Source organism: Homo sapiens, chromosome 5 (assembly GCF_000001405.40).
Source record: "Homo sapiens chromosome 5, GRCh38.p14 Primary Assembly".
NCBI lineage: Eukaryota > Metazoa > Chordata > Mammalia > Primates > Hominidae > Homo > Homo sapiens.
The window spans coordinates 119108210-119119832 of record NC_000005.10 but is presented as its reverse complement, the minus strand read 5'-3'; the positions used below and the strand labels follow the sequence as shown (position 1 = coordinate 119119832).

The 11623-nt window shown below is 37.4% G+C and overlaps 1 protein-coding gene across 26 annotated transcripts in view; it reads right to left on the bottom strand.

The window, feature by feature from the left end:
* Positions 1 to 11623, bottom strand: part of DMXL1 (Dmx like 1) — a 178101-nt gene that overhangs the window by 129295 nt on the left and 37183 nt on the right. For 23 of the 26 annotated variants that reach the window (NR_170867.1, NR_170868.1, XM_011543213.3 and 20 more), the window contains 4 exons: positions 9550 to 9682; positions 5292 to 5358; positions 3497 to 3675; positions 829 to 1018 (listed from right to left, as the gene is read on the bottom strand). Coding sequence is in view for 23 of the 26 variants with exons in the window: in XM_011543213.3 (XP_011541515.1) it covers positions 829 to 1018; positions 3497 to 3675; positions 5292 to 5358; positions 9550 to 9682 (569 nt within the window). In the remaining 3 variants the exon portion in view is untranslated. The remainder of the gene's footprint in view (positions 1 to 828; positions 1019 to 3496; positions 3676 to 5291; positions 5359 to 9549; positions 9683 to 11623) is intronic. The other 3 variants (XM_011543215.3, XM_047416837.1, NR_170869.1) reach the window with 2 other exon arrangements.

The following is an 11623-nucleotide window of genomic DNA, read 5'->3' as shown; positions in this document are numbered from 1 at the left end:
TTTCAATATTAAGAAAATAATAGGCCGAGCGCCATGGCTTATGCCTGTAATCCCAGTCCTTTGGGAGGCCGAGGCAGGTAGATCACTTGAGGTCAAGAGTTCGAGACCAGCCCTGGCAAACATGGTAAAGCCCTCTCCCTACTAAAAATACAAAAATTAGCTGGGCGTGGTGATGCACACCTGTAATTCCAGCTACTCAGGAGTCTAAGGCCAGGAATACAGTGAGCCAAGATCATGCCACTGCACTCCAGCCTGGTTGACAGAGTGAGAATCTGTCTCAGAAAAAAAAAAAAAAAAATTGGAAGAATCTGTATTACTATTCTACTATTGTTTCTCAGCCTTTAGGCTACGATCAAATGTATTACTATTCTACCTTTAGCATGTCCAAAAATCAAAAATTGACTTTTACTTTCAATATTAATTTGTAAAGACCCCAAGTTCTGGGGGTGGGGTGGGTTTTCTAAAGATAAAATGGTAGAAGAACAGAATAGGACAAACTACTCAAGCTCTAAGAAAGAAAAAATAAGTTATTTTCAGAGTTAAATCTCTGCATTCTCAGATTTTACTTCATGTTACTTCAGCCAAGTCAAATGTAATCATCCTTTTATCATCATCAGTAAACCTAAGAGTAACTTCATAATTATAGGTAGTTTTGTGTTCCAGACAAAATCTAGATAAAAATATGTTTTTTGAACCAAATAGAACTGAAAATTTTCTAAGAATTATTTTCCTAGGATATAGTTTTTTTATAACATTACTGTGTTACCAAAAAGGCAATGTACCAAAGGTTTTAAAACTTGTAGTAAGTAATGTAACAAAAACACTCACTTCTAAAGCATTTTGAACTCGTTCTTTACTGGAAGCATTTCTCTTGAAGTTATTTGTTAAATTAATTGATTCAGTCCAATGGCTGCAGTCACCTCCGTATAGCAAACAATCATTTGGTAAAAATGTCTCTACCCAAAGACGACACACATTATCTTTGCAGCAAGTCAACAGTACATTACATACAGAAGCCCTAAGGAATGAAAAGATTTTAGAAGCAAAAATACAAATTTCACATAGTATCACAGAAATTCTACGATGTTTCTGTAATTACTTAAATGTACCAACTAAGGTACCAATGAAGAAAATATCAATATGTACAGATTTCATCACAGCAAATGCTTGCCAACCTATTTCTTTTCTGCCTAGAATTCAGTAGTTCTTGTTTCAATAATGTTGCCAAACGTTCTTTCTTTTTTTTAAGAGATGTGGTCTCACTATGTTGCCCAGGGTGCTCTCAAACTCCTGGATTCAAGCAATCCTCTGGCTCAAGTAATCCTCCCGCCTCATCCTGGGATTACAGGTGTGTGCCACCATCCCAGCACTCAATAAGATTCTTTTTACATCTAAAAAAACAAAGACTGAGATTAAGCCACAATCTCTCAGTTGACACATAAGAAATAACCACATCTTCTAATAAGATTTTCTGATTTATTGAGTGGATAGTTCTTTGAATTATATCATATGCTTCATTTCTACTTCCTATAAAGGCACCTGCACACTGTCACAAAAAGCTACAGTAACTACTGAGTACACTTATTCTCTCCTTACCTAACAGATGCCCAAAGCAGTGAAATGCAAGAATTGAATATTCATGATAAAGTACTAAACACTTCCCCCTCCTTAGTCATCCTTGACTTTCAGTTAATTTCCTTTTTGCCACCTCCTTAAAATAAAAGCAAAAATCAATTACATATATGTTAATAAGTCCAACAAGCAACAAGAGCTCAAAGCCTGAAACCCTATCAGCAAGGACTACCTTCCATCAGGGAATTCAGTAAGTTTAGAAGAAAGAAAGAAAAAGTCACAATATTTTGTAGTAGTAACTTGTTCCAGCATACATATCTGATTTTTAAAAACGGAACAATCAGCAGGTTTTATCAGTAACTCAGTGAGTTAAAGTAAATGAGAAATCAAAATATTGTCTAGTAGCCACTTTGTTAAACTTACCTAACTGACTAAAAAAGAAGTTGCAGAACAGAAGGGAGAACAGCATAATTTGTATTGGTTGCTCTCTCCTTCTCCTTCCCTCCTCCATTCTTGCATCTCTCTCCCTCTGGCGCCCTCTCCTCTTTCTGTCTACTTCCTTGTTTTCTTCTCCCTTTCTACCTCCTCTCCGGGCTTCTCTCTCCCACCATTCTTTGCTTTCACAGCCTTTCCAGGCCACCTTCCCTTTCTACCTCTCTCCTTCTGTCCCCTACCTCTCCCTTCCTAGCATCTTTTTCCTTTCCTTCCCCAACCCCTTGTTTCTCCTCCTTTCCCCATCCTCACACCCATCTCCCTCCATTTTTTCTCACTCTCTTTTCTCTATCCCTGTCCTGGCTATAGCTACACTATAGCTCAAAACATCTAGTCAGCAAAATTCATAGAACAGTGAAAAGCTAGGGAAAAAATGCCACATGGTGTGGCCAAGTTGAAAATGGCCATATAGTACAAAATGGGATTTCTGGCTGCGCACATGGCTCATGCTTGTAATTCCAGCACTTTGGGAGACTGAGGCAGGCAGATCGCCTGAGCTCAGGAGTTCAAGACAAGCCTGGGCAACATGGCAAAACCCCATCTCTACAAAAAATCCGAAAAGAAAAAAATATATTAGCCCAGCATGGTGGCACACACCTGTAGTCCCCGCTATTTGAGACGCTGAGGCGGGAGGATCACTTGAGCCCAGGAGGTAGAGGTTGCAGTGAGCCATGACTGGGGCACCGCACTCCAGTCTGGGTGACAAAGCAAGACCCTGTCTCAAAACTAAACAAAACAAAAACACATAAAAAACAAACAAAAATAGGGAATTTATACCTGTATTTAAGTAATAGGTCTCTATAACCTACTAAAATTCAGTATTACATTAACTCTTTCCAGAACTACAGAAAAAAAAAAGAAGATACTGAGGATATGTATGTGTGTGTCACTGTGTGCTTTTGTGGTTAAACTTATAGCTGTTTCAAAGAAGAATAAGGTAGGGTATTAACCTACTCTCTCTTTTCCTCACATATGCTGGGTGTAGTCAAATAAACATACAAGAACTCATGATATATCCTCTTAATAAAGCTATTTTTTAAAAGAAGAAAACCAGGGAAGACATACTAGAAGGTACAAGACGACAGAGTATTTATGTAAAAATATAAACAAACAACAATCTGGAGAAAATAGATGACAGAATTAGACACAAAACACAAAGAAAAAGAAAATATGTACAACTCTGTGACTTAAAGACATCTGATATGGAGTAAACTATCCCAGCTTAAACTCCTTTAATACGGCTCTTATCCTAAGCATCAAACATAGTTGAGCCACAGCCAGAGATGTGCAGGCCAGAGACGATTTAATATTACTCTAATCTTCATAGGCTCAGAAGTCCTGTAACTATGGACTCTCAAAAGTGAGAGAAGCAATCAAAGTAACAAAGATGATGCTCCCTTAATATGTGGAGGGAAATGACCAATCCACTGACCTAGGCATATATTTGCTTGTTTTACGCCAGGAAAATCCATTTACTGCTCGAGGATGGGCCAGATACACAAAAGAAAAGTCAATTTCTCCTTGGGATTGTTTTTCTGAACTTCCATCTGGAGAAGTAACAGCTGTCCGCCAGTTTTCTACATTATACCAAACCTTCAAAAGACAGTCATCCTAAGGAAAAAAAAAACAAAACAGAAAATCATGGAGATCAGAATTAAAGATTAAATCAAATAGCAAAAGTAAGAATTTTCTCCCCAATGGCAAGAACTTGGGGATGGGAAGAGACGTTGAGCACAGAGGAATTAAGAAAATTCTGATTCTGGCACTTTTCTATTAGCATTGCCTAACTGTGCTTTAAAAACTGAAGTGTGTGAATGTGTGTATTCTGTGTTCAAGAAAAATGCTTGCTAATTACTAGAGTAAGGGGAATGGAGTCATTCAGGAAACACTGAAAGATAAAATTAAGGACGTCTTTTCCAGTAAGCCAAATATTAAATAAGTAATCAACACCACTAGCAGACTTATGAAGACTGCTAATTATTGAAAAAAAGAGATACTTTTCATGAATTTTCATGTGACTTTTCAAAGAAAATGTTGATGGTGAAAAAAATGAGTTAATATATAAATACTATATAAAATATTCTTTGTACAATCAAATTTATAGTCATAATTTGGGAAATAAAGGAAAAGCAAAGGGGACTAGAATGTACCAGGTACTGCTTTTAAGCTATAACTGAGTTCCCACCTGTAAAGTCAATCAGAATAAACAGCTCAACTTCTCTCCTAAAAAACAAAAACCTTACTGTGGTTTTAGAGTAACTTACACTCTTAGTTTGCAGAATGCTTTGAGCCATGAGAACAATAATTTGACTTATTAGCAGCTCGTGAAATGCTCTATGAACCAATGAATAAAAATAACTTCAAAGAAATACATTGCTTTAAAATAGACAGGTAATAAAGTATACACACTAAAGAAATGGTTACTAGTATCTTTCTAGAAAGCCTATGAAGTCTTATATATTAAAAACAGCCTAATACACATCAGCTAAAAGGTAATATAAATTGAAGCTATGCTTTATTGATTGTATACTACATGAAAGGCACTGTGCCGGTCACTCTATACTGCATATATTGTCTAAATTAATCCTACGATTAATGACCTATGAGGTAGGTGTTTTTATCCTCATATTACACATGAGAAAAGAAAGGCTCAATAAGATTAACTTGCCCAAGGTGATAAAGCTGGTAAATGGCAGATTTATATCCAGATCTGCCCCTAAGTCTATGTAATTTCAATTATATCACACAGTCTTTTAACACCACAATAATGGAGTCAATTTTTGCTATTTAAAATTTTTAATGGCCGGGCATGGTGGCTCACGCCTATAATCTCAGCACTTTGGGAGGCCGAGGTGGGCGGATCACAAGGTCAGGGGTTCAAGACCAGCCTGGCCAATATGGTGAAATCCCGTCTCTATTAAAAAATACAAAAATTAGACGGGCATAGTGGTGTGGGGCTATAGTCCCAGCTACTTGAGAGGCTGAGGCAGGAGAATCGCTTTAACCTGGGAGGCAGAGGCTGCAGTGAGCCGAGATCGTGCCACTGCACTCCAGTCTGGATGACAGAGTGAGTCTCCATCACAAAACAAACAAACAAAAAAAACAATTTTTAATGGAAACTATTATTTTCAAGTTAAATAAATAAAAGAATGAAGCCAGTTGATGTTTTTAAAGTTTCAAAGTAAACTATAAACACATAATTTGGCAATAGCATTTTCACAATTTACCTTCCCAGCAGTGGCAAAAAATTCTCCATCTGGTGAAAATTTCATTAAATGAACTTGGGAAGCAGTTCTGTAAATTAAACAGATAAGGAATAATTTGCAATGAAAACTAAAAAGAAAAAGTTCAATATTCTCAAAATTATAAATCAGCAATTGGTTCAAAAGACAGAAAATGTTATAAGTTTCACACCCACATCTTTGTGTACCTGAAAAATGAACTAGTTAGTAAGATAAATTTTAAATATAAAAACATACACCCATAGACTCATGGAAGGAATGGCTTGTCAAAATCTTTAAAGCCTAAAACAAAAGTTGTAACTTTCATTCCCTTAGAATGAGAGAGAATGGTTTCATTTTTTAAATCTGAAAATCTAGTTTCCAGAACCATGGATCCCTATATGCCAACATACATTTTCATGGATAATATATAATAAGTTTGCCTTAGGGTAATACTTACCTAATTAAAGATTATGTGTGGGTTAACAGGGGACTTGCAACAATTAGGAATTCAGCCTACCAGCTTCACCTATATACTTGTTAGATACTTGCCTTTTCTTCTCAAAGGAACTTTGGTTCATTTCTCTTCATTGCCTTCCCTTACAGCTACTCATATATACTGATCTCAAGACACTCACCACTATCACTGCTTTCCTTTTCTTTGCTCAAATGCATGATTAGATAGGTCAATTCTAAATTTATTTATAAAGATATCCAAAGAGGAATTCTGTCACATTTCATTTCAGATACAAATAACTTTTTTTTCTGATTTTAAGCATAATACATTACAGAAAAGTTGATACAGGTAGATAAAAACCAAATGAAATCATTTACATTTTTCACCAGTACCACCACATCCTTTCCTCAGACAAAGCCAATGTTAACATTTTAATACATAAACTTCCAAATCCTTCTCTCCACTCTCTCTACTTTCTGCAGGAAAAGGTGGGAAAAGTAGGGCTAGAAACTGAAGTCACACTTATCACCCACTAAAAAAATATGTCATGGGCTGGGCACAGTGGCTCACGCCTGTAATCCCAGCACCTTGGGAGCCTGAAGTGGGCAGACCACAAGGTCAGGAGTTCGAGACCAGCCTGGCCAACATGATGAAACCCCATCTCTGCTAAAAATACAAAAAATTAGCCAGGCGTGGTGGCATGCCCCCGTAATCCCAGCTACTTGGAAGGCTGAGGCAGGAGAATTGCTTGAACCCAGGAGGTAGAGGTTGCAGTGAGCCAAGATCACGCCACCATACTCAGCCTGGGTGACAGAGCAAGACTCCGTCTCGAACAACAACAACAACAAAAATATGTCATGAACATCTTTGCATATAGATGCAAAAGATGTGTATATGTGTGCAGGTGTACAGATCTACATTATTACTTTACTGGCTTATATTCCACTGTATATGTTTACATATATATACATACAATGATTTCAAATAATTTTTCACTGCTGTTTTCTAATTTTTGCTGCAACAAGAACAAAAAAGAGAAGTGAACATGCCTGTACACACATTTTTAGAACATCTGGTTAATCCTAAGGATATCCTTAAGACAAAATACTATTATTATTTTTTTCTTTTTTTTACTGAGATGGAGTCTCACTCTATTGCCCAGGCTGGAGTGCAGTGGTGTGATCTCGGCTCATTGTAACCTCCACCACCGGGTTCAAGCTATTCTCATGCCTCAGCCTCCCAAGTAGCTGGGATTACAGGCATGCACCACCACGCCTGGCTAATTTTTGTATTTTTAGTAGAGACGGGGTTTCGCCATGGTGGCCAGGCTGGTCTTGAATTGCCGACCTCAGGTGATCCACCCACCTCGGCCTCCCAAAGTGTTCAGATTACAGGCGTGAGCCACCGAGCCCAGCCTACAGCTCTTTCTAAAGAATTATTTATGCAAAATTCTGTTCCCTTTCTACATGTTAACCCATTACCTATCTGAGGGGTGCAAAATACATGGAACGAGCTCCTTTGAAATCTCCTCTGTAAATTCTACATATGGGACGTCTGCCTTACTTTGGTATGTGATATTTATGCTATCACCACTTCATATAAACCTAGTCAGTTTCACTTAAATCCTGTTACACCAGTTTACTGGTTTATTTTCTATCTACCCCTATCTGTTCATAGCAATATTCTAAGCATCTTTAAAGCTGACTGGAACCATTCAACAAATATTTGTTGAATGAAGGAATGAAACCTGGCAATCTTATTTAAAGGGTATGAAAAAAATTAAGCCTGTTGAATCATACTTCCAAAATGTGCTCTAGAAAGATATTATCAGGCCGGGCACGGTGGCTCATGCCTGTAATCCCAGCACTTGGGGAGGCTGAGGCAGGCAGATCACGAGGTCAGGAGATTGAGACCATCATGGCTAACATGGTGAAACCTCGTTTCCACTAAAAACACAAAAAATTAGCCGGGCATGGTGGTAGAGCGCCTGTAGTCCCAACTACTTGGGAGGCCGAGGCAGGAGAATGGTATGAACCCGGGAGGCGGAGCTTGCAGTGAGCTGAGATCACACCACTGCATTCCAGGCTGGGCGACAGAGCGAGACTTCGTCTCAAAAAAAAAAAATAAAGATAATATCAACTGTACTGCTTTATTGACAGTATACAAGAGCACCTATTTCTCTAAACACTATTAGATAACATTCATCCTTTTTCTGAACATTTCACATTCTTGATTTCAAGTGAGATCACCTCTTATTGCACTTATTTTTAATATGTGCTATATCTTGTTAAAATTTTCTCTCCATTGCCCAATGTTGCTTACTATTGTTATACCTGTTCTTTTCTAACTAATTTAAGGCCTACTTTTAAAAACGCATTTGCCCAAAACTGCACATATTTCTCCTCATGTTTGTGTTTCTTCCCTTATGGACAATTTGCTTTATAGAAATGTTTTATTGATACGGTTAGAACTATTAATTTTTCCTATCCTATCCATTTCCAGTTTGGGTGTCATTCTTAGTCTTTCCCTAACTCTAAAGCAGCATTTCTTGTCGAACAGCAATATAACATAAATGACAAATGTTAGCCAAATATGTAATTTTAAATTTCCTATCAGCCACATTTTTAAAAAAAGTTAAAACAGGCAAAATTAATATTTTTTATTTAACCTAATATATAAAAACATCATTTCAACATATTTTTTAAAATGTTAGAGATATTTTACACTATTTTTAATACTAAATTTTTGAAGTCCAGCACATCTCAATTTGGACTAGTTGCATTTCAAGTGCTCAATAATAACATGTAATTAGTGGCTACCATACTGGACAATGTAGCTCTAAAATATAAAATTTCACCTGTATTTTCCTCTAATATTTTTGTTTCATTTTATAGAAATTTTTTCCATCTCACATTTGTTTTGGTATCAGGTATGAAAGACTCTAATTTAATTTCCCGTCTACAGAGCTAGCTAGTTTTCCCTGCTATAAAAGACTATCTTAAGGCTGAGCACGGTGGCTCACACCTGTAATGCCAGCACTTTGGGAGGCTGAGGCGGGCAGATCACCTGAGGTCAGGAGTTCAAGACCAGCCTGGCCAACATGGTGAAACCCCGTCTCTACTAAAAATACAAAAATTAGCCAGATGTGGTGGCGCGTGCCTGTAATCCCAGTGCCTCAGGAGGCTGAGGCAGGAGAATTGCTTGAACCAGGGAGGTGGAGGTTGCAGTAAGCCTCACATCATTGCACTCCAGAGTCTAATCCTGGATCCTAATCTGTCTGTTCCTACATCAATAACAAAATGCTTGATCATCTGTGGCATTAGAATTCATTTTACTATACTGCAAATCTTCATTCTTCTTTTCTTTCAGAATTTCTCTGACTTTCCCATATTTGTCCTTTTAAGTAGAGTTTAGAACTATGCTTAATAGAAATTCCACTCAGATTTTGGCAAGGATTATGTTCAATATATAGATTATGTGGGAAAAATAGATTTCTTCAGAATAGGAAGTCTTCCATTCAAAAGCATGAAAGTCATCTATCTTTTCATATAATTTGGCAAGTTTGTATTTAATGGTCTTCATGTAAGCCTTACACATTTGTTTCTTCCTATTTTAATTGACATTTTTAAAAAATGTATTTGTAGAACACGGGAAATAGAGAATTATCTGTGTATAAGAAAAAGCATATCATAGACTAAAAATCAATACTTTTTATGTCAGTGTGGTTTTACACAACTAAAATACATTTATAATAAAACCACATAGAACAACAGGTTTATCAGTTTACTCCCCTGATTAATTGCTTACTTGCAATGCCAAATGCATTTCCAATCTCCAAAGTTAAGATCTGTTTTATTTAAATTTTCATCTTCAGTTGGCTTCTCCAAGTTAGTATTGGACCAGAGTTGCAAATAGCTGGAACCAGTTAAAAGACGACTGCCTAAAAAAAATATTATTCCTCATTTATTATTTAGGTATTTAATAGTGACTTAATTTACATGCTCAAGAATTTCATATAAAACAACTTCTAAAAAAAAGTCAAATATCAAAAAAAATTTTGAAGAACGGAGGAGAAGGCTGTATTTTAATTTCGTTAAAATAGCTTGAGATAGAAAGGAAGAAATCTTATAATCTCTCACTTAACAAGTATTTAATGAGCATCTTCTTTGTCCCGGGCACTGTGCTAGACATTGGAAATACAATGACAAACAAAACATTGTCGTTTTTCATGAGTTCATATTTCAGCAGAAAGACATGGAAATATGATACCATGTGGAAGTGTTACATACATGATAGAAATGCATGCAAAGCTTTATGGAAGCCCACAGGAAGGAGACATTAATGTGTACCTGTAGTAAAAGTGCCAGGAAAAGTGAGGAAATGAAACCTGGTCCTTAATGGATGAATAAGCAGAAGAGACAGGCATTTCAGAAAGGAAACCTAACATGAACAAAGGCATGAAGACATATAAATTTATGTATTTTCCCAAGAATGCCTCTTAATCTGGTATAGGTTAACGAATAACGTACACAGATAGGCTAGAAAAAAAATTACTACGGAAAAAATGCCAAGGTGAGACTGTGAAGAGTTTTTCAAGTTCACAGCGTTTGGACTTTGTTATAGGTAGTTGGGAGTAAAAGATTTTCAAGTGGCAGTGGGGGATTGTGGGGGAGTTGTTACAAAATTGGATCTGTATTTCAGAACAAGAGGGCTTAACTGGAAGAGGGGCAGTCAACAGATGGAGAGGCCTGTGAGTCTCCCTCTATTGAGATAACATACAAAAATCACACATACAATATGTGCATTTTTCCAGAAAGATAATATGTAACTTACATCGAAATTTCAAAGACTCTAGTATACAAAGAAGGTTAAAAATACTTTTTAGAAAACAACTCCAGAGACAGACAACATCAGGGAAACCATAAGTGTGTGGTTAACCAACTATTAAACTATTAAACCTGGTTAATTAACTATAGAAATTCAGATGGTAGGCCAGGCACGGTGGCTCACACCTGCAATCCCAGCACTTTGGGAGGCCAAGGCGGGTGGATCACCTGAGGTCGGGAGTCCAAGATTAACCTGACCAACATGGAGAAACCCCATCTCTACTAAAAATACAAAATTAGCCGGGCATGGTGGAGCATGCCTGTAAACCCAGCTACTCAGGAGGCTGAGGCAGGAGAATCACTTGAACCCGGGAGGCAGAGGTTGCAGTGAGTTGAGATCACACCATTGCACTCCAGCCTGAGCAACAAGAGCGAAACACCACCTCAAAAAAAAAGGAAAAAAAATTCAGATGGTAAATAATGAGGATCTCAACCAAATATTTAAAAAGCAAGCATTTGAAAGCCATTTCAAAAAGTATTGTCAAGGCTGGGTGCAGTGGCTCACACCTGTAATCCCACCACTTTGGGAGGCCAAGGTGGGAGGACTGCTTGAGCCCAGGAGTTCAAGACCTGTCTGGGCAACATAGTGAAACCCTGCCTCTACAGAAAAAAATTACAAAAATTAGTTAGACACGCACTTGTAGTACCAGACACTAGGGAGGCTGAGGTGAAAGGATCACTCAAGCCTGGGGAGTCAAGGCTGCAGTGAGCTATGATTGTGCTACTGCAGTCTAGCCTGGGCAACAGAGCAAGACCCTGTCTCAAGAAAAAATGAAAAAAAGAATTGTCAAGATTTGACACCAAATAAATACAGAGAAAAAACAAGAGGGTTAAAGGACAGATTCCAACTCTATGACTTGGGAATTAAGTAGAAGGCCGTGCTATCATCCATACAAAAGACAAGCAATTTTGGCAAAAAAGCTGACAATAAAGATGGCATTCACCTTGGCAATTTAAGACTATAGATTTGTGTATTTCTAGAACAATCACTTTTT